Source organism: Homo sapiens, chromosome 21 (genome assembly GCF_000001405.40).
Source record: "Homo sapiens chromosome 21, GRCh38.p14 Primary Assembly".
Lineage (NCBI taxonomy): Eukaryota > Metazoa > Chordata > Mammalia > Primates > Hominidae > Homo > Homo sapiens.
In genome coordinates, this window is record NC_000021.9 from 26,531,032 (window position 1) to 26,555,452 (window position 24,421).

At 37.5% G+C, this 24,421-nt stretch overlaps 1 protein-coding gene and 1 long non-coding RNA gene across 6 annotated transcripts in view; one reads left to right on the forward strand and one right to left on the reverse strand.

Annotated features, from left to right (window-relative positions):
* The window catches only part of CYYR1-AS1 (CYYR1 antisense RNA 1), a 175,618-nt gene that overhangs the window by 137,397 nt on the left and 13,800 nt on the right, over positions 1–24,421 (forward strand). Inside the window, exon 3 of the long non-coding RNA NR_135515.1 lies at positions 19,288–21,096. This is a non-coding gene — a long non-coding RNA (CYYR1 antisense RNA 1). The remainder of the gene's footprint in view (positions 1–19,287; positions 21,097–24,421) is intronic.
* The window catches only part of CYYR1 (cysteine and tyrosine rich 1), a 107,071-nt gene that overhangs the window by 64,816 nt on the left and 17,834 nt on the right, over positions 1–24,421 (reverse strand). The window lies entirely within an intron of this gene.

Here is a 24,421-nt window from a genome sequence, read left to right on the forward strand (position 1 = left end):
AACTGTGCTGAGAGGTGCTAATGCAGCAGGCACGCATAAGTGTAAACTTGCTGTAATAGTCAAAAGCTTGCATCCTCCTTGTTTTCAAGGAGTAATTTTTTTAACCAGTCCATTATTACGCTAATAAAAAGACATGGATCACCAGGGACACCTCGTCGGATTGGTTTCACAAACATTTTGCATCAGTGGCTCATGCTCACCACAGGGAAGCTGGATTGGATGGATGACTATTGCAAGATTGTGTTATTCCTTGACAACCGTTCTTCTCATCCCGCGGCTGAAATTCCCATAAAAATAATGTCTATGTCATGTACTTTCCCCTAAATATGACTTATATGGTTTGGCTCTGTGTCCCCACCCAAATCTCATGTCAAACTATAATCCCCACGTGTTGAAGGAGAATCCTGGTGGGAGGGGATTGAATCCCTGGACTTCCTCCTTGCTGTTATCATGATAGAGTTTTCACGAGATCTGGTTGTTTAAAAGTGCAGCATTTTTCCCTTCATTTTCTCTCTCCTGCTCCAACATGGGGAGTCATGCTTGCTTCTCCTTCACTTTCCACTATGACTGGAAGTTTCCTGAGGCCTCCCCAGCTGTGGAACTAACTCTTCCTGTACAGCCTGTGGAACTCTTGAGTCAATGAAACCTCTTTTCTTCATAAATTACCCAGTCTCAGGTAGTTCTTTATAGCAGTGTGAGAACGGGCTATGACAATGACTTTATTAACTCAGTCATGTGGCCAGGGTATCCTTAGATCGATAAAGAGTAAATATAAAAACATTTTCTTGAACAGCGTGCTAGCCAGCAGTGAACAGAGGTGTGAATGTGGAAAGTTTTCAAACCTTTAAGGTTTGAAAAAAGTTCAGCATGAAGAATGCCATACATACTGTTGCCAATGCTTGAAACATAGTGATTAAAGTCACAGTTGTGCATGCCTGACACAACCTCTGGCCTGCAACTAAGTTCAGTGATGATGATGAACAAGGTGGTGACTTTGAAGGATTCTGTAATTTGAAGGATTATGTAAAGCGAGAAAAAAAGAATGTCTGATTTCCTTACATATGCAAAAAATATATCTTCAGAGTTCATTAGTAAGCTGGAAGAGGTGAATATCAAAGACATTTTTAATATCAATAATGAGGCTCTAGTTCATTCACTGATGATGAAATAGCTGAAATGGTTCTGAATCAAGGTGATCATGAAAACAGTAACAATGAAGATGATGTCAACACTGCAGAAAAGGTGCCTATAGACAACATGGTGAAAATGTGTGATGGGCTTATTGAAGGACTAAAGCAGCATGCATTTGTAACAGGACAGGAAATCATGTCAGTTTATAAAGTCAGTGAGAGGCTTCTAAGACAAAAGCTATTGTTAAGGAGGCAGATGACGCTGGAGGAAACATTTTAAAAAGCCATCCAGCAGAATGCTCTTATCCCTAGAGGACCCGTTTCCTGGTCCCTCCACTGCTTCTGACATTTCTTCTCACCTAAAAAAATAAAATACAGTGTATAGAAACCTTTTAATTAAAACACAGCATAGTAGGTGGAAATGGAAAGGCTGCCATTGTTTGTTCCTGCTGTTGTTTAGCAGCTGATACAGGTATTCTGTTACTGTGCTGCTTAGCTACTCTGAACATGTTAATTTTTCACTGTATTAATGGTTTTCCATATTTTCAACTAAGTACTTATGTACGAATAAGTGTAAGAAAATGCTTGTTTATTGGTGGCACATAAATTCAGAGTCAGAAATGATGGTGATGCCAAACAACCACAGATTTTCCATGTGGGTGGCTAAGATAGTGACACCTTTGCTTTCTGATGGTTCAATGTACACAAACTGTTTCATGCACAAAATTATTAAAAAATGTCGTATAAAATTATCTTTATGTTATGTTTATAAGGTATGTATAAAACATAAACAAATTTTGTGTTTAGACTTGGGTTCTATACCCAAGGTATCTTATTATGTATATGCAAATATTCCAAAATCCAAAAAATTCTTAAGTCTGAAATACTTCTGGTCCCATGCATTTTGGATAAGGGATACTCAACCCGGAATCTCATGAGCCAATTCCCATAATGGTAAATATATTTATTTATTATAAGAAATATGTATTGTAGTAAATATTATTTACTATTTACTATAGTAAATACATATTTTTACTGTTTACTAATTTATACATATATATTATATTCATAGTATATTTATAAATACTTATAAATATTTATATATATTTACTATTACAGGAATTGGCTTACGGAATTATGAGGACTGATAATTATGAGGGCTCACAATATGTCATTTGCAAGCTGCAGAACCAGGAAAGCTGGTGACTTAATACGGTCTAAGTCTGAAGGCCTGAGAACCAGGGGTCTGTGGTATAAGTTCTGGAGCTCAAAGATCTGAGAACAAAGAACACTGAAGTCCAAGGGCAGAAGAAGATGAATGTCCCAGCTCAGATAGGGCAAATTCACCCCTCCTCTGCCTTTTTGTTCTAGCTGTGCTGTCAGTTGATTGGAGGATGTCCACTCACATTGGTGAGGGTGATCTTCTTCCCCCAGTCCACGAATTCAAATGCTAATCTCTTCCAGAAACACCCTCACAGTCACACCCAGAAATAATGTTTACCAGCTATGTGAGTATCCCTTAGCCCAGTCAAGTTGACACATAAAATTCACCATCACAATTAGGTTGTTGCTATTGCTGTTGTTATTGCTGCTGTTGTTGGTGTGCGTGTGTATGTATTTTCTGTGCAATGCTTGCTGTTCGTCTGAGAGTGAAAAGATTATAAAAGTGAATGTTAGCAAACACAAATTTACATAAAAACCCACCAAAGTCACTTATTCTTTCATGGCAGAAGACCTACAAGCTTTTGTTAGGAATTGAGGACACAGGTGTACCTAAGATTAATTCAAATGACATAAAATTCAGGATTCCAGTGTAACTGCGCCACAGAAACAGAGCACCAAGCACACATAGCATGCCACTCACCATTATTTCTGGTACTATGTTAGCAGTTCATTCAAATCAGTTTCAGCCATTTGTCAACCAGAATCTCATAATGGCCTCGCAAAAATATTTGTCAATATTTCACTAATACTGCTATGATATATTTGCATTTGTTTGTTTACCTGTCCAGTTTCTCAATTACAACACTTTGAGGACAGAAATGATGTCTTATTTTGTTATATCTTCAGAAACTTGCATTTTATTTGCGTAATAAGGGCTTAACAAAGGATTACTGTTAAATGAGTAAGTTAATGAATGAATTACTGCTTTCTCAACTTCTCCAGACTCAGCTTCAGAGGCAGTGGCCTCTCTATTGCATCTCTATTATGTGTTAATGTGCTGAATCTTTTCTTGCCCCTCCTGATCTACTCTCTACCTTGCTCCATCTTGCTCAGTCATCAGGGAGGCTGATGCATGGTGACTATATCAAGAGACCAACTTCTCCTTTGTCTTCTGTTTGGATTTGCCCAATGAAAGCCTGGCACAGGAGACTGGAGATGGAGAGGAAAGGGAGAATAAAACCTTTGATCCTTTGGCTCGCTCTCAGTATCGTTGCCACTTAACCACCTTGCACTATAGACTGCCATGACTCTCATGGACATCCTCTTCCTATACCTACTGTCTCTGCATTTTCGTAACTGTTCCCTCCCTTTCAGGCTTAGAAATGGCAAGGGATCTCTGTTGTTAATAACCCAGAATATTGCACCATATTTTCTTGACTTCCTTAATCCTGCCTGCACTGTTATAAAAGATGCATTTGTTAAACTCTCTTCAATTTCCTGTCTGAGTATGCTATTTGTTTCCTGCTGGGATTGACAGATATAGACAGGTACTGTAATAGTTGTATGTACGATCTTATGTAATTAATTTTACTCCTTGAGTTTGCAAAGTAAATATAACTATTCCCATTTTACAGAATACCTATGATACAAATGTATTCTATCTGGAATTCTTATTTTATTATTTATTTATTTACTTAACTTATTCATTCATTTTTATTTCCCACAGTTCATTGGAAATTCATCTCTTGGCAAGAATATACACCGGGGACTACTGTGGGGGTGTTTGGGGGAAGGGAGCAAATGTTGAAAAACTAACTATTAGGTACTATGCTCACCACCCAGGTGGTAGGATCAATTGTATCCCAAACGTCAGCATCATACAATATACCCATGTAACAAACCTGCATATGTACCCCTGAATCTAAAATGAAAGTTAAAATTATTTTAAAAAATTAAATAAGAGGAACTTTATCTCTTGATACAACTGCTAGAGCAGGGTGGTACAGAGACAACCTGGCACAAAGGAAGTGTCTCCACTGGATAAACGAGTAGGCCGCTTTAAGAGGGCTCATTGTTGAATGTGGGCAAAAAGGGGGAGAGGGAAAGTTATAAAAGAAGGAATGAATGGAAGAGGCTCAGCTCAGAATAATTTTGCTATTATAAACAACAGTACTAATAAAGTTTTGCTCCTTCTATTCGTTTGAATAGAGCAAGGAAGGCTTGTGAAATTTTTATTAATACCTAGCCTAATAGCTATGGGGTTAAGTCAATGAATTCTAAACCAGATATTATTACAGCACCCTCTAAAAACTAGGGGCTCTCTCCAATTTTACTTGTTTCGTATGCAATCTCTGCATTCTGAGAGCTCTTTTCCATACCTGTGCTGCCACAGTGAGTCGGTGGCCACTCTCAGATCTCCATCCTCTAAGATCTACTCCAGTTTTTCTATCAGGCTCAAGAGTGGAGTGAATTCTGAGCCACCTCCATGGGAAGATGTTTGTAACTTACTTATGCAGTGAAACTCAGTGAGTTTGTATGTTCCCTTTGCCACTTATGCTCTAAGTTGCCAGAGAAGCATGAGAAAGAGGTGTATTAGTCTGTTTTCACGTTGATATACAGAACAACCTAAGACTGGGTAGTTTATAAAGAAAAGAAGTTTAATTGACTCACAGTTCGGCAGGCTGTACAAGAAGCATGGCTGGGAGGCTTCGAGACGCTTACAACCATGGTGAAAGGTGAAGGGGAAGCAAGCATGTCTTCACATGGCGGCAGGAGAGAGAGAGTGATGGGGGAGTTGCTACGCACTTGCAAACAACTGGATCTCATGAGAACTCTATCATGAGAAAAGCAAGGGCAAAGTCCACCCCCATGATTCAATTATCTCCCACCAGGCCCCTTCCCTGACACATGCGGATTACAATTTGACATGATATTTGGTGGAGACACAGAGCAAAATCATATCAAGAGAGTAGACATAACTTACTGTTGAAAGCTACACAGGCATTAAGCCCTGCTTTTCCACGAGATGCTTTATTATGCTTTTAATAAATGGGTATGTTTATAGTCTGTGTGATTTAAGAAATGGTATACCAAAGGGAGGTGATGTCAAATTATAACATTTCAAAATCAGGTAAGGCAGGAACTTCAGACTTTTTTTGGAAGGTCTAAGAAAGTTACCTGAGTACATTTTAAACACCATTGCCTCCATTCTTCAGAGGGTTTCGTTTCAGGAAAGCATAACAAGAGTCATTCTAATGTGATTATAAAGGACCCGAAGCTTTGCTTTTAAAATTCAATACTTAGGTAGAAAGAAAATGATAACTTTTTCCCTTTGATTTTTATTCACTATTTTTATAACACTAGCAGCCCTGAGACACCGGATTGGAAATATCTATGCCTCTTGATGTTACCTGGGCACCACTGCATCACAGTCCTTTAACCGGGTCTGTTTTCATCTGTTCCTTGATCTTCTGCATTCTCCCCCACCAAGCGACATCATTTCTATACTCTTTAGACTTATTCTCAGCTTTCTGGATGCTAAATTTGCCTGTTCACTGATTCAATAAACATTTACTGAGCACCTACTGTGTGCCAGGCCCAGATAGAGATCCTGCACTCATGGAAATTCCAGTCAAACAAAAGGGCCAAGAATGTGCAATTGTAAATACTGGTATGTTCTGTGATGGAAAAGCATTAAGTGCAGGGGCATAAGGTAAGGAATCTTATCTGGTGTGCGGGTTCAGAGTTTTCCTAGGTTATGATGTTGGAGGAGAGTTGTGATTGATGAGCCTACGTTAATTAACTGAGGAGCATAGGAGTAAATATAGGAAAGGGGTTAGATAGAAAGCATGGCATATGCAGGGACTCGGAGACTCTGTGGTGCTGAAATCAGGTATGGATTTGACTTAAACCACTGTACTCCAGTGAACTCATGCATAAGGTAAAAGCTCAGACCTTAAGGGATACAAGTCTGCTTTACCTATCCTGTTCTTTCGTGTAACAATCCTTTTTTTGCTTCACAACTCAGAACACATAAAGGGATGATGGAGGGAGGTAGATGGTGGAGAGTCTGGCTTTTATTGCAATACTAAAAAGCTCTCAGTGCTTGGGCCAATCAAGGTTTACCTGTTGCTCAAGTTTTATGTCCACCTTGGCTAGGCAGAAAGGGAGCTTTCATTCTTTATTGGTACTCAGTGATTCTGGCTGGCAGAGGCTTTACTGTTACAGAGAAGAGCACACGCCAAATAATTAACCAGCTCTGAGAACTTCTCTCTAGAAGTGTTGCACCTTTCACTGGGCAAAGCAAATCGAGGGCAATGCTTAACCTCCAACTGCAGCAGGGTGGAGCCAGCCTGATGTTTCAGGCTGGTAAGTAGAAAGCTAGAAATATTTGGTGAGTGCTATGGTCCGAATATTTGGGTCCCCTTAAAATTCATACGTTGACCCCTAATCACCCATTTGATGGTATCAGGAGGTGGGGTCTGTTGGGAGATGATTAGAATGGGATTAGCAACCTTATCAAAAAACTGCCTTATCCCTCTTCCACCATGCGAGGAGAAGACACCATCTATAAGAAAAAGGAATCTCCCCAGATAGCAGATATGCCCATGCCTTGATCTTGGACTTCTCAGCTTAGGGAACTGCAAGAAGAAAATTTCTATCATTCGTAAGCAATCAGTCTACGTTGTTTTATGATAGCAGCCTGAATGGACTAAGACAGTGAGCAAGAGTAGCGATCACCACGGAGATGAGCCTTCATCAGGTATTGCAGTCTATGGCAAGAGCACATTACTGGCGCTCTGACTGCAACTAACTGGTTTCTAACCTTCTCTTAATTCCAACAACTTGTCACTGCACAGGTAAATGTGTGTGGGTGATGACATTGCAGTGAAGTCATAGTGTGCAGAAGTGGAAGTTGGAAAGTATTTACTAAGAGGTGGTATAGTGGATAAAATTCCACTTCCAATCTTTGAGTTTTTCGTCTACTTTCTGGAAGAAGGAAAAGGGTAATGGGCCCTTAATAATATTTTCCAATTATCTGTTGATTTTTTAATTGGATCTTTCTTAATTTAATTTCCAAGAGCTCCTTATTCTTTGTTCTTCTGTATGTAGTGTACTGGTTTTGTTTTATGAATGCAATATAGTCTTTTATTTCTCTCAATATTTTAATTATGGTGTTTCTTTCATGTGCTTATTTTTCCACCACTTTGTTTTTGCCACTCTTTTTTCTTTATTTGATTCTATTTTGTTTTGCTCTCTATCTCTATCTTCCATAATAGAGGCTTTCATCAAATATCAGGTCTTTAGCTGTCATATATAAAAGTGAGACTCAGAAAAACCCCATTTGGGAGCAAGAGTGTGGCTTATTAATTTGTGAATCTCACTGTAGGTTTGCTACTGTGGTATCATATTTTTAATTGGGGAAATATCCAAATACCTGTGTCTAGTTCAGAAGTTCTTAAACTTTTTGGTGTCATGGCAGCCTGGTAAAGTCTAGGATCCTGTTTTAGACTTATGTCCTATGCATGAAACCAATTATATCACAATCTGGTTCTCAAACTATTAAACCATTAAATTTGTGATATAGTCATATGTGCTTTTAATTAATGCACCACCTAATAAACTTTAGAGTTGTATCTAATAACTACTATAATTTTGAAACAATGATGAGTGAAAATGCAATTTGGAGATACAGGCAAAGAATAATGTGATACGAAAACAACTGTGATTTTTATTGGTCACAAAGTCACAGGTACCAATTATACTACGACGGTTTGTTGCCTATACTCAAAGATGCCAGAAATGCTGACTTTCAGAAGTTAGTTTAAAATAAAAATGAATTATTGTTCTCATTCAAGTTCACAGACTCGCTGGTTAAAAATTCCTGCTGTAGGTCTTTACTTCTGGGTGAATGGATTTTTCTAGAAATCAGTTCACCCATCTCCAACCTTAAGTACGTAAGTGTGGCTGTGAGCCTTTCACGAGCCAAGCAGGGGACAAATCTCTCTTCAGTGGGGAGGCTTTTCCTATAATCCCTCTGATTTCAACACAGTAACTCACACTCCAACCAAAAATGTATTTATTTGCTGTCTTCCAAATTCAAATACTGTCTGATAAAACCAATCCAAAAATAGGCCCTAGGTTTTCTCTTGATGCATCAGGGTTGGAGAAAGAATATGAGAAGTCTAACTCCTATTTTAAAGATATTTAATCCATACTGTAGTTTTCATTCCCATTTTTGCACACCTGCCTTTAAAGCAGCAATTGTCTCCAATCCCTGAGGATTTCTGTAGCTTTGTGTTGAAAGGATTAGCTTTTTGATATTCTGCCTCAACATACTTAGATCTCTATGTTCTCTAGTCTAAAACAGTTCCCAGTGGTTAAACTATTTCCCAGATTTCAAAATGTTGCTTCTTTTGTCTGGTATCTTCTTTTTGAGGTTTCTTCCCCCGCCCCCTAAGTTCCTTTACTGTCATTGCTTTGTGAACACTCAGGAGGAAGTACAGATAGACATTTGCATTCAACCTATGTTATTTAACCAGAAGCTTTGATGCATTCATAAGTAGCATTTTAATATGTTTGGGTTCGCATCTTTTTCCCTCTCATAATAGCATATCTCCTTTTCTCTGATTTAATATAAAAGTAAGAGGAGAAACAAGGTTGACATGCAATGTCACTTTAAGGAAGGCCTCTTTTTTGTGTTTTAAGGAAACCATTTCTTAAAAGAACTTTTCTCAGACTCTCTCTAGATGCTTTCAGCATTTTCGTTTAAGACATTAGACTATGAGTTCTTCAAAAGGATGTATGTAGTTTCTTTTTTGGTAGAGTGGTAGAAGTGGAATAGCTCTTATTGGTATAACCCTACCACGGATCACAACTGCAAGCTCTTAAGAAAGTATAAAGACTCCCTGAAATCCCTGGAGAGAAACCCAAAGCCACCATAAATTGGAAGTGAATCAAAACTGGGAAGAAGGAAATGGAACTGAGTAGCGTTCCATTGATAAGGCTTTTTGGCTAACGGCATGCCCCAATCAGAATAAGCTAGTTAGCTAAATCCCGAACAGAAACCCTTGGGGTGTACTGCTTTTAAAAACCAGGGGACAGAGTTTAGAACTACGAAAACAGACGAAAAGTGAGAGGGGAAATCATGCAAAGGAGAAACTATACAGGGTAGAGCATCACATTTTGCACATAAACTCTGCGGAAAATCTTAGGATGACCTCTACACTATGCACGCATGGGGCATACTCCCAGCAGCCCATCTAAGGCTAAAAAGAACCGAACAAAGATTTTAGAAGTTACCCACTGCAGGAGTGACAAAAAATGGATTTGAGTTCTTCTAGATTAACTACAAATAAAAATCAACATTCAGAGAAATAGCAGAATCCAGTCTCTACAGTGTATTCTTTTAAAAAAAAATGTCCAGGGTATAATTCCAAATTATTCCATACATAGTCAAGAGGAAAGGCAATTAAATAAACTGATCCTGAAATGAACCAGATGTTAGAACAGGCTAGCAAGGATTTTAACATAGATACTATAACTATGCTCAAGGGTAGAAGGTAAAATATGTTTGTGATGAATGGATATACAGAAAATCTCAGCAGAGAGATTGCAACTTTAAAAAAGAACCAAATGGAAATTCTAGAAATGAGGAATAAAATATCTGAAACAAAAGGAAATTAATTGTATGGGCTTAACAAGATGTTAAGGATGAAAGAAGAGTCAGTGACGTGAAGGTATCTCAATCAAAACTATATAATCTAGAGAGCAGAGAGAAAAAATATTTAAAAAATTAGAATCTCAGTGATTGTGGGACTATATCAAAATCTAATACATGTGGAGTTTTACAAGGAGATAAGAGGCAGGAACAGGTAAAACCCAACATCTGAAGAAAGAATGTTTAAAAATTTCCCCCATTTTACAGACTCAAAAACCTCACGTATCCTATGTAGTATAAATAGAGAAAAGACACCTTGAAAATATCACAATTCGATAGATAAAAACAAAAGATAAAGAGAATCTTGAAAGCATCCATAGAAAAAAGACAAATTACATATATAAGAACAAAAATACAAATCACCACTGACATCTTAGCAGAAACAATGAGGCTGGAATATGGTGTAATGACATCTTTAAAAGTGCCAAATGAAAGCAACACACTGAAAACCTAAAATTCAATGTGAAGCAAAAATAGCTTTCAGAAATAAAGATGACATAAAGGCATTTCAGATGAACAGAAACAGTGGTAACTCTTCTCAAGTAGACTTGCCCTACAAGAAAAGCTAACAGAAGTTCTTCAAGCAAAAGTGAAATGAGATCAGATAAAAATTCAGATTTTAATTTCCCTAAAATACTAATGATTGTTTAAAATAAAAATAACAGTTTGCATAGCATCTTATGTAATAAACGTGAAAATACAGAATTAATTATAGGAGGTAAAAGACCTATAGGATTGCAAAGTTATTACATTTTATGAGAAGGGGTGCTTAACTTTCAATAGAAAAATTAAGGGTGCATATTGCAATCTTTAGAGCACCACTGAAATAATAAAATAAAGAGGTAAGCTAAAAAGCCAAGATAAATTAAAATGGAATTCTAAAAGCAATTTCAATTAACTCAAAAGTAGCAGGAGAGGAGCATGAAGGAAACACAAAGCAAGTGGGACAAACAGAAAAGATAACAGTAAACTGAAAGACTAAATCCCACCACATCAGTAGGAAATGAAGTATTTTAAAAGGCAGAGATTGTCAGAATTACTTAAAAAGCATGAACTATTTGTTGTCTACATGAAAGGTACTTTGAATACAAAAAAATCAAGTAGATGCCCTCTGAATACAGAAACTCCCTTAAGGGCTGGGAAGATATTCTATTATACCATGCAACATAAACAGCATAAGAAGGTGGGGGACGGGGGCGGGGCGGGAGAGAGAAAGAGAGAGAGAGAGAATATGTGTGTGTGTGCGTGTGTGTGTGTGTGTGTGTGTGTGTGTGTGTGTGTCAGAGATATATTTTCCCAGGAATGCAAACATCATTTAAATTTTGAAAATTTATCAATATATTTCACCTTACAAGAGACCTAAACATGCGATCATTTCAACAGATGCAAAAAGCGTTTGATGAAATTCAACCTCCATTCATTACAGAACTCTCAGCGAATTAGGAACAGAAAGAAATTTCCTCAATCCGATAAAAAGAATCAATGAAAAACATTACAATTAGCATCATGCTTAATTGTTTTTTTCCTATGTTCCAGAACAAGGCAAAGATACCTACTCCAACAACTTCTAGTCAATATTTCCAGAGACATAAAGTAAAAACCAAAAAGAATTAAAAGGCATACAGATCAGAAAGAAGTAAAACTCTATTTGCAGATAAGATTTTTTTTACATAGAAAATCCTAATCAATGTATAAAGTAATTACTAGATGTACAAAGTGAATTTAGCAATGTTGTTTTATATATGATCAATACACTAACACCAATTGTATTTTCATACTCTGCAGCAACAAACAACTAGAAAACAAAATTAATAACAATTCCATGTATTAGGGTGTTAAGAAGCAAATTACTATTTAGGAAATTTAACAAAGGCAAGGACTGACTCACATTTACCTTCATTTTCACAATGTTTAGCCCAATGCCTAAATGATATATTCAACACAATTTTTTGAAAAGCTAAAGAATGTTTGTCTGCTATAAAAAGATTCAAGTTAAAGTCTTTAAAAATTCCTTAGCAAACTAACACAGGAACAGAAAACCAAACACTGCATGTCTGCATGTTCTCACTTAGAAGTAGGAGCTGAACAAGGAGAACACAGGGACACAGGGAGGGGAACGGCACACACTGGAGTCTGTTGCGTGGTGGATGCGGGGAGGAAGAGCAGTAGGAAAAACAGCTAATGCACGCCGGGCTTAATACCTAAGTGGTGGGTTGACAGGTGCAGCAAACCACCATGGCACATGTTTACCTATGTAACAAACCTGCACATGTACCCCAGAACTTAAAATAAAAATAAAATTTTAAAAAGTTATGATATTCAATTCAATGTAGAAAGAGACAGTAAAATAATCTTTTTCAAAAAAAAAATTATAGGTTGTTTTTTCCTTCATCTCTCTGTCCAGGTTTAAGTGCAGCAGGGCTCAAAGAATGGCACCCACATGTCAGGGGCCTGTGCTCCTTTCCTTCCGCACTGGGACCTGTGCTACTTTGGCACCTCAGCAAAGCATGTACTGAAGTTGCACACAATCATCTCTGCTCATGCACCATTGGCTGAAGTTAGTTAAATGGTCACATATAGCTGGGCGTGGTGGCTCACGCCTGTAATCCCAGCACTTTGGGAGGCCGAGGCGGGTGGATCACCTGAGGTCCGGAGTTCGAGACCAGCCTGACCAACAAGGTAAAACCCCGTCTCTATTAAAAAATACAAAAATTAGGGGGTGTGGTTGTGGACGTCTGTAATCCCAGCTACTCAGGAGGCTGAGGCAGGAGAATTGCTTGAACCCGGGAGGCGGAGTTTGCAGTGAACCGAAATCACGGCACTGCACTCCAGCCTGGGCTACAGAGTGAGACTCCATCTCAAAAAATAATAATAATAATAAATAAATAAAATAAAATAAATGGTCACACATAGCTGCAAGGAGGGCTGGGATTGTAGTGCTTACCCTGGAAAGCTATTGTGCTCTATTAAATTTATATCAATATTAGATAAGGGAGATTGGACATTAGAAGACAACTTGTTGTCACTAACATACCATTTCTAACTGTCTGACAGATACAGTGAAGAAGAATTTTAATGGCGATATTTTACCGTTCTGAAGACTAAAACATTTTGAGATTATTAATGAATTTAAAGCTCACTTCTACTAATCCACCAACCAGAATACAGGAAAACTGTTCAGCTGCTGTTTTTATTTACTTGAATTCTGTACGAATAATCACTTTTAGTCGTCAAAATCCTAAAATATGAACTTAACAAGACTCACTGTTAAATGCAGAGCGCTTAGAAAACCAGACACAGAACCTGACCAGGATTTATGAATCATATGTTAAAACAGAAATCGTAAAATAAGATTTATGCCTGGTCAAATTATAGATTTTAGCATACTGACTCATAAATCAGTCACCTGAATCCCAAGGGCAATAAAAGGATTTATAAATCAAAACTGATTTAGGATTTATTAGCTAAATGTCTACCATAAGAATGCCGTGTTTATAAATCTCTTTTGACTTACAGAACTAAATTTCACAAACTCTACAGTCAGGGCCCATCTCTAATGATGCTTTTGAAGGGTATACATCCTGGTGACCCTGAAGAAACACGGATCGATGATAATGTCAGAGGAAAGAGAATTGTATTAAAATTATTAAACATTATTTAAATAAATTCTAAAGGATGATCTTGTAAGTAAAAACAACATCTATCTCTATATTTTTGAATTGTGAATATATGGGTTTAAATATTTAAATAATAAGAAAGGCCGAGAAAGGTGGCTCATGCCTGTAATCCCAGCACTTTGGGAGGTTGAGGTGGATCCTAGGAGTTCCAGACCAGCCTGGGCAAAGAAACTGTGATTACCCCACTGCCCTCCAGCCTGGGCAACAGAGTGAGACCCTATCTCAACAAAAACAAAAACAAAAAAGAAAAAGATAAATTATGATTTGAGTATAAAATGACATGTAAAGGATAATTTACCTCAACTCCCAAATCATTTCAGAGTAGATTAAATGTTTCAGAACACATTAAATGACAACATTTCTCTACTAGATATACCAGTCCCTTTTTAATTCCTAATTTGACAAACATATTACTTTTTTATTGAAATTATATAATATATTTTATTACAAATAAAAAGTATTTGTGTTAATTTGAACTATCTTATTTTTAAGGTTCAATTTTCTCATGTATCATGGCCTGTTTAGAGTCTCTGGGTTTGCCTCCCACTTGGTAGAATGGAATTGTTCTAAATATTCACGTGGCTGACTTAAGTCATTTTGTTCTGTTCTCTACTCAGATGTCACCTCCTCAGGGCCTCTTCTGTGTTCATCCCTGACCATCCAGTGGGAAGCAGCATCCACATCACCCTGTCCTTCAGGCTTCTTCGTCTTCTTTTCTCATAGAAAGATAATAATAAGCAACCTGAAAGTTTAATTCCAAGGTGGCAAGGTTAATGAGTGATAGTACAGGCTTACGGTTGGACTGTGTAATGGTTTCTACCTTCTGGTTAATAAGATGCTTATTCTTTTTTTTTTTTTTTTTTTTTTTTTTGAGACGGAGTCTCGCCCAGGCTGGAGTTCAGTGGTGCGATCTCGGCTCACTGCAAGCTCCGCCTCCCGGGTTCACGCCAGTCTCCTGTAAGAAAGCCCACCTCAGCCTCCCCAGTAGCTGGGACTACAGGCGCCTGCCACCACGCCCGGCTAATTTTTTTTGTATTTTTTTAGTAGAGATGGGGTTTCACCGTGTTAGCCAGGATGGTCTCGATCTCCTGACCTCGTGATCCGCCCGCCTCGGCCTCCCAAAGTGCTGAGATTACAGTTTATTCTTAATTAAATAAGATAGTTTACATTACCCACTTCTCAATAATTGAGAGATTAAACAGATAATTAAGCACGTAAATATGGTGTTTTCTTAGGTGAGACATGGACCTGGCTGTCCAGGTTGAATATCAGAGATTTCTGAAGCAAAATAAATGAAGAATAAAATAACTTTATTTTTTGAGCTCCTTTTCCTGTGACTACAACTTTGTGGTATCTTTTTCCAAACAGAGAAGAGAAAGATAACATAGTATGTCCTCTAACATGATGGATTGTAATTGGCTTTTGGCTATTCTTGGTTTAAAAAACTATTTTAGTCTCACAGCATGTTAGTGGTAATGTGTAAATATTTAGAATTGTTAGCAAATTTGAGAAAACTTCTGTTAGATTTCTTTCAAATACAAGTAGTAATATTGTATTTGGAAGAACTGTGCCACAGATTCTCTTCTGACTCCTATTTTGAAACTTTGTTTCTTCATCACCACCCAATCACTTCCATTTTGCTTAGTTGTAGGAGTCACTTTGATCACACATTCATGTTGGCATCTGATCTTGCTTTGCCCCTAGGCATCAGAATACTGAATGAGTTGGTGTGGTGGGCTGTTGATCATGCTTGGGAGCTATTCCTATATTGGAATGGCTAGCAATAATTTAACTATACATGGAAGTGATTATGACCTATGTACTAAATGCAGACTAAATTTACTCACAATTCCACTTCCCCCAACTGGAACCCCCAAATGGTGAAGTCATTTTAAAGCCTCTAGGGAGAGGAAATTGAAGTAGAAAGAGGTCATAGTCTTGAAAGAGATCATTTAAATATCTTACTTTTGCAACTGCTGCAAAATGCATGACCATGGGAATGCACCGTCTTAGGTGTAAGGAAGAAGCCCATGCAGTACACCAACCCGAGAGAGAAAGCTTTATTAACGTCGGGATAGATTCTACTCTGCTTACAGCCCTACAGCAACAATAGTGGATACGTCAGGAAATAACTTGCCCAGCTCAGGGAGGAAGTTCATTGTGGCTCGACGCTGCTTCAGAGGACATTTAAAAGGCACAAAAACAACCCAGTGGAAATGCCAGCTTCCCAGCATCTAGACAATGAAGGCGGAAGTGGCCCCTGAGCACAGGAGGAAGTGCAACTTGCCAGGAGTCAAGAGCTGAGCAAGGTTGAAGGTGCATTTTTCTGGTTAGGGAGCCAGGGTGCAAGGACTCATTTTTATTTTTCTTAAAATCAAGCACAGAGGGGTCCAGGTTGTGCAATGTTCGGGCTCAGAAACTGATCGCCTGAAATACGGTGTTTTGACATACTCAACTGAAGGATCTTCAAAGTCCCTTTGACCTTCTCCCCACTCCTGTCTCTCAATTCCCTGTCTCTCTCCAAGCACAGAATGAAGTTGTTCCCAGAAGTTCCCTCATCTGGCTAAAGTCCAGACTCGCCAAAGAAAAAAACAATTACCTATGATCCCCTCCCTGATTTTTCACTAACTGAAGTCATATGGGAGGAACAAAGACTGAAGTCTGTCAACACACCTGGACAGACTTGTCACAAACCATGGTCTGTTTTGTGGGCCCAAGAGACTTTGTCCCAGGCCATTGTATGTTCTTCAAGCCCATTTAATTTGCCTAAAAACAATTTGCTATCCCCCTAAGATCATCCACACTTCCCCATCTCCCTTTACCCTGAAGATAAGGGTATATAACCATCTGTACCCCAATGTGTGGTGGGGCAACCACTCTATGATTCTCTCCCATGCGCATTAATAATTTTATATGCCATCTATTAATGTGACTTTTGTCAGATAATTTTCAACGAACCTTCAGAGGGCAAAGGAAAAGCTTTTCCTTGGCACCTAGAGCAGCATTCAGGTTACGGGTTTTGTTCCTTCCTGCTGAAAGTTGTAATTCTATTTCTACTTTTTTTTTTTTTTCTTTTTTTGGCTCCCATTGCCAAGGAAACCTCGATTTCAACCAATACAACTTTCCTGTTATACTAATACCATTCCCTGATTTACCCATCATGTATGAATAATGGAAGCATACATTAGAGAATAGAAAGTAGCTAAACGGAGTACCAGCTGATGTTCTAAGTGGTTCATAAGTATTAATTCATTTAAACCTTGTAGCAACCTATGGGGCTGATTCTACTGTTATCACTATTTTACATCTATTACACTATTTTATCACTTATTTTTGGCACAGGCAAAGCTTTGTAAATTTGTTTGGGGTCTTACTGAGAACCCATGGGTCTCTGTTAGCTATTCAATCACTTCGATCAAACACAAATGAATTTTATATAGCATTTTATTTTCAATACTTCTGAATATATTTACCATGGTAATTTAAAGTAACCCTTTATGTAAGTCTACATAAGTGTGAAGAAATTAGTTTATGAAATGATGGTTTGATTACATCCCTTAATTGATAATTACATAGGATAATAGGAGTGGACAATGAAATGTTTTTTGGTAAGGTTTATTTGTCTAATGATTATTATTTTTAAGAGACAGGGTTGTGCTCTGTGCCCAGGATGCAGTGCAGTGGCATGAGTATGGCTCATTACAGCCTCGAACTCCTGGGCTCAAGCAATTCTCCTGTCTCAGCCTCCTGAGTAGTTGAGATTACAGGCGTGTGTCATCACATCTGGCTAATTTTCTCATTTTTTATAGAGATGAAGTCTTGCTATGTTGTCCAGGTTGGTCTTAAAAACTTCTAGCATCAAACTATCCTCCCACCTCAGCATCCCAAAGTGCTGGGATCACAGGCATGAGCCACCAAGCCCGGCCAGTATGGGTTATTTAGAGCAGTGTGGTCTAAGGGCCATTGGTTAAAGAATCTCCTAGTGAGGGATAATTAATAATAATGTAGATTTTCTACCCTAATTTTCTACCCACTGGATCTGAATTTCTAGATTAGATTCTGGGAAAGTGTTATTTTTAGAAAGTACTCCTAGGTGATTTTAGTGCATAATAAAGTCTGAGAATCTCTAATTTAAACAAATTTAAATTCTGTGAAATCTCTACTTTTCACTGAATAGACATAATTAAGGTCTAGTGTTTACAACTGCAAGACATTTATAAGCTTGAATGTGATTTAAGACAGGAATACATGATAAATATGTTTTTGTTCCTTGTGTGCAAATACAGGCTTAAAAGTGTTGTTTGAAACAAATGATGCAGTAAAAGAAAAAAAAAAAGAAACTACAAGTTTTACAGACCTTTAAATCAGACCGTTGACTAATTGAAACACATAGGGGTTAGTCTTCCTAGAGGCATAATCTGAAAAATAGAGCAGGTTTTACTGGCTTAGGATACATCGTTCCAGGATAAGCTCTTTTCTCTCATGTGCTACTTTTTTCATGTACCCAGAAAACAATAAATTTTGGGGTTCTGCAGTTCTATGTGAGCACTCCCATCTCATAAATATTTAGACTAGAAGAAAAGAGCCAGGATCATTCTTTTAAAAAGTTTAATGAATTTTTAAAAATGTATGAACATGGTTGGGAAGCCTGCCAGTGATTAAAGAGTGTTCATTTTAATATTGTACTCTTTTCCCTTTCCAAATTCTTTCCCACACCTCATCGGACTGTACATTTCTCTTAATAAACCTAATTTAAAATGAATTATTTTAGTCATTTTCATCACAAAATTTAATGATCAACCTTCTTAATTTTCTATTTCTGTGTCTTTGTTTTCATGTCATGTCACCTACAGGGCACATTCTGTATGCTGTATGTTAAATTAATATTTCTACCATGGCTGCAATGGGTATTTGATGCACTACAGAAAAGTGTAGAGTGTGGGCCAGATCCTCAAAGATCTCAAATCCGAATTGAGGTGTTTATACATGTACGAAATGCCAGGGACTGTCAAGCTTTTGAATGATTTAGAATTACAGTAAAGTCAATCTAAGCTTCCACGGTATTATTTGTAATCCACTGACACGCCTCATAAACAAAAATTTAAAAAGAATAAGAAAAAATGCAAATAACTTCATTTTACCCTCCGTGTAAGTCAGTATAAACAGATTGTTCATTTTCCTTTGTCAGGTGAGTTTCAAGAAACTACAGGCATACCTCATTTTATTGTATTTTCTTTATTGAGTCTCACAGATATTATGTTATTTATAAATTGAAGATCTGTGGCAGCCCTTCATTGAGCAAGTCTATTGGCACAATTTTTCCAACAGCATATGCTCACTTTGTGTTTCTGTGTCACATTTTGGTAATTTTCACAATATGTCAAACTTTTTCATTATATCTGTTTTTCACTATATCTTTTTCATTACATCTGTTATGGTAATTGTGATCAGTGATCTTTGATGATGTTACTATTGTAATTACTTTCGGCCACCACAAACTGCACCTGTATAAGATGGTGAACTTAATTGATAAATGTTGTGTGTGTTCTCACTGCTCCATTGACCAGCTGTTCCCAATCTTTCTCTCTCCCCTCAGGCCTCCCTCCTCCCTGAAACACAAAAACATTGAAATTAGGCCAATTAATAACTCTACAATGGCCTCTAAGAGTTAAAATGAAAGGAAGTGTAAAATGGTTTCTCACTTGAAATCAAAAGCTAGAAATGATTAAGCTTCGTGAGGAAGGCAAGTTGAAAGCTGAGACAGCCAAAAGCTGACTCCCGCACCAGGGAGCCAAGTTGTGCAAGCAAAGGAAAAGTTCTTGAAGGAAATTAAAAGTGCTGCTCCAGTGAACACATGAATGATAAGAAAGCAAAAGTGATCTGGGTAGAAGATCAAACCAGCCACAACATGCCCTTAAGCCAAAGCCTAATCCAGAGCAAGGCTTTAACTCTCTTCAAGTTTGTGAAGACTGAGAGAGGTAAGGAAAGTGCAGAAGGAAAGTTAAATGCTAGAAGAGTCGGTTCAGGAGGTTTCAGGAAAAAGCCATCTCCACAAATAAACATACAACGCGAAGCAACAAATGCTGATGTAGAAGCTGTGGCAAGTTTTCCAGAAGAGCTAGCTCAGATCATTGATAAACGTGGCTACATTAAACAACATATTTTCAGTGTGGATGAAACAGAGTCCTATTGGAAGAAGACACCATCTAGGACTTTCATAGCTACAGGGAAAAGTCAATGACTGGCTTCAAAGCTTCAAAGAACAGGGTGACTCTCTTGTCAGACACTAATACAGCTGCTGACTTGAAGTTGAAGCCAGTGCTCACTGCACATTCTGAAAACTTAAGGATCCTTAAGAACTGTGCTAAATCTACTGTGCCTATGTGCAACAAAGCCCTTATGGCAGCATGTCTGTTTACAGTATCATTTACTGAATATTTGAAGCCTACTACTGAGAACTACTGCTCAGGAAAAAAGATACTTTTCAAAATAGTACTGCTCTTTGACAATGGACCTGGTCACCCAAGAGCTCTGATGGAGGTGTGCAAGGAGATGAACGCTGTGTTCATGCCTGCTAACACAACACCCGTTCTGTACTCCATGGATCACAGAGTAATTTTGACTTTCAAGTCTTATTATTTGAGAAATAAATTTTGTAAGGCTATAGCTGCCACACATAGTTATTCCTGTGATGGATCCGGGCAAAGTAAATTGAAAACCTAGAAAAGAGTCACCATTCTAGATGTCACTAAGAACATTTGTGATTCATGGGAGGAGGTTAAATTATCAACATTAATAGAAGTTTGAAAGAAATTTATTCCAGCCCTCATGGATGACTTTGATGGGTTCAAGACTTTGGTAGAGGAAGTAACTGCAGGTATAGTGATAATATCAAGGAAATTAGAACTAAAAGTGGAGCCTGAAGATGTGACTGAATTGCTTCAGTCTCACGATAAAACTTGAACATAACAGCAGTTAATTCTTACGGATTAGCAAAAAAGTGGTTTTGTGAGATGGAATCTATTCCTGGTGAAAATGCTGTGAACACTGTGGAAATGACAACAAAGGATTTAGAATATTACATAAACTTAGTTGATAAAGCAGCAGTAGGGTTTAGAAGGATTGACTCCAATTTTGAAAGAAGTTCTACGGTGGGTCAAACGCTACCGAAGAGCGTTGCACGCTATAGAGAAATCTTTCATGAAAGGAGGAGTCAACTGATGTAGCAGACTTCACTGTTGTCTTATTTTTAAAAATTTCCACAGCCACCCCAATTTTCAGCAACCACCACCTTGATCAGTCAGCAGCCATCAGCATCAAAGCAAGACCCTCTTCCAGCAAAAAAATTACAACAACTTGCTGAAGGCTCGGATGATTTTTAGCAACAAACTATTTTAAAATTAAGGTATGTACATTGTTTTTTGGGTGTAATGCTACTGCACCCTTAATAGACTACAGTATAAACAACTTTATATGTACCAAGAAACCAAAAAATTCATGTGACTCACTTTGTTGCCATATGTGCCTTATTTTGGTAGTCCAGAATGGAACCTACAATGTCTGCAAGGTATAATTGTACTTTGTCAGCCACTCCAGCTTTCTTTTGGTTAATATTTGCATGGTATATCTTTTTCCATCCTTTTACTTAAGTTAGCTATTTCAGTAGAGTTGAAATGAATAACATATATTTGAGTAGGTTCAGAACAAAATCCATTTGCTGTTTTTACTGGTATGTTTAGATCATTAATGTAATTATTGATATGTTTGAATTTAGGTATATCATTTTGTGATTTGCTTTCTGTTTGTTCCCTCTGTTTTTCATTCCTTTGACTCCCCTTTTCTGCCTTCTTTTCAGTTATAAGAATATTTATTAGTATCCATTTTAATTGATCTACTATGATTTTGACTATATTACTCTGTAGTTCTTTATTGTTCTTTTTAGTGGGTGCTCTAGGGATTACAGGATATATACTTAACTCTTCATCATCACCTAGAATCAATTTTGTATCATTTTAGTTGGAATATAGAAACCTTATCATCTTATTGATCCATTAACCTTTCCCCTCCTGTGCTAGTCATGTTAAATATTACATCTAAACCATTGAATGTGCTATCATACATATCATATGTTTTCACATTAAATAGTCGATTGCATTTTAACAAACTCAAGAGGAGAAAAACAGCCTACCATATTTACTAACTAGTACTGCTAGTGGGGCAGGACTTTGATTTTTTACTCTTCTTTTTCCTTTATGATATTCCATGTTTTCTCTGGTATCATTTGCTTTCTTCCTGAAGAACTTTTACATCAGGTCTGCTGGATTAATATTTTCTTAATTTTTCTTAATTTAAGAATGTCTTTATTTTCTCTCTATTCTTGGAGAATATTTTTTACTTGATATAGAGGTTGATAATTCTATTCTTTTGGCACTTAAAAAATATGCCACTTTCCTGGCCTCTAAGGTTTCTGATGAGAAAATGAAGTCATTCAAATCACAGCTCCCCTATAGGTAATGTTTTGTTTTTCTCTGGCTGCTTCCAAATTTTTTTTCTTTAGCTTTTAACCAATTTGATTATGATGTATCTGGGTGTGAATTTCATTGGGTTTATCCAGTTTGGAATTTCCTCAGCTTCTTAGATCTGTAATTTATTTCTTTCACCAAACTTGGGATTTTTTTAGCTCCATACTCTTTCTCCTTTCTTCTGGGATTCTGATGGCACAGATGCTAAACCCTGTCCACATTATGCTTGCTTACTTAGACAGAACTAGAGGGCTTCTCCTGCAGCTCTCTGTTCATGTCCTGAAGCCTATTTCTATGTTTTGGGCTGCGTTTAGTCCAAAGTCGAGTAACAGAGGGAAACAACTGGTAAATTTATGGCTAGTTGGGCAGTATTTCAAATTTTGTCTGGTTCCCCAATCCACCTGCTAGTATTTACTTTCCACAGTCCTGAAGTAGCTGCTTCGTGCATTCTGTCCACGCTCTCCATAGTTATGCTCAGTAGGAGGCAGAGCGTGGAGCTTGTTTTCTTCATCTTACTCAGAACTGGAACCAACCCTCCCAACTAAATATAATGAGACAAAAGCTATTTTACCACAAACACTAAACAAAATATATAACATGTATATTATGCTGGTGGTGTAAAGCCAACAGGCTGAATAAAAAGAAACTCATTTTAGAATTGATAGACCTCAGCTGATCCTCACTATGATCAATGACTTTTTATTTGGCATGCCATCTGGCATTTATTTGCTTCCACTGAAAATACATTCTGTCTGGAGATTGTTCCAAATGTAGGTTATGCACAATATCATCGGAGGCAAGTTGTTGTGCTTTTTGTTCTTTTAAGTCTTACAAGTCTTGACTTAAATGGAGAAAACTGCTGATTAACACAATTTTTTAAAGAGCTTAATCAGGGAAATTCTCAACTGTTACATACAAAGGAACACTCAATCTATACAGCACTAGGATCACTCTGCCAAAAGAGCCGGCAGTTAGAACACCACTGTGTGCATTATTTATTGACATATTGTCAATGGAGATGAGCCATTGGAATTCTTTAATGAATCATTTTTAAAGCAAATCATTACCCACTGATTTTTGATATTATATATGTAATTTTTTTCTATAAATCAGGTTTATATATTTTTATTTAGATTTGATTTCCTAGTTTCTGAGTGGGTTTCTCCCTCTAATTCACAAGCCAGCCTAGGGTAACATGGCAGACTTGTGTATCTAATGTACATGACTTTTCAGGCAGTATTATGCCTTCAGCAACCACTGGGCAGCAGGACACCGTACTTAATTAGCTGCTTTTGCAGTTATCAGACTGCAATCACATTTGATTAAGGGCACCATTTATTTCACTCAAGGCCGAGAGTGCTCTCCTGGGGAGAGGCAGGTGGTACTCTCCTGTTGATGAAGTCCAGAGAGCCAGAGAGACAGCCTGTGACCAGAAGTGACACTCTGCAGCTCAGTCACAGACTTTCCAAATGACCTTGCAGAAGTCATTTTTCTCCCCATCATGTTTTATTTATTTTATTTTTTAAATTATTATTATGATTCTTTTTGATCACTCTGTTGCTCAGGCTGGACTCAAACTCCTGGACTCAAGCAACCTTCCCACCTCAACCTTCCAAGTAGCTGGGATGACAGGCATGTATTTCCATGCCCAGCTTAAAACCCAGATGTTTTCAAAGCCCAATGTTTTCATCAATGACAGGAAAAATTTGTAAAGCCCTTCTAAGTGCTTCTTTGTATAAATATATATGTCAGGGGGGCAAGTTACTATTCCCTGTCTACACATGAACAAACTGAGGCTCGGTGATATTAGGAGATCTAAGTTCACACAGCATCAGGAACCCAAGCCCGATTTTTCTGTGGTATTTCTCTTACAACTTCCTATCACAAAACTACTGTTAATCAAGAATAGAATCACAAAGCATTGTTTCCTGTTTAATTCTACTTGGCAAAAGCCAAGAGGGTCTATTTACTTAATATAAGAATGAATATTACTTGAGACTGCAACCTCAAAGTAGAGTTTTCAGCATTTATTTGATAAACTTAAATTCTAATATATTTCTATGTGTAATACTTCAGAGGCTGATCCTACATTATACCTGATGTTTGTTTAAAAAAAATGTTGTATCCACACAGTAGAGTTGGCTATTTGCAACCACAGGTAGCTCTTATTTTTTGCAAAATGCAGCATAGAGAGATATAGTTTTGCTT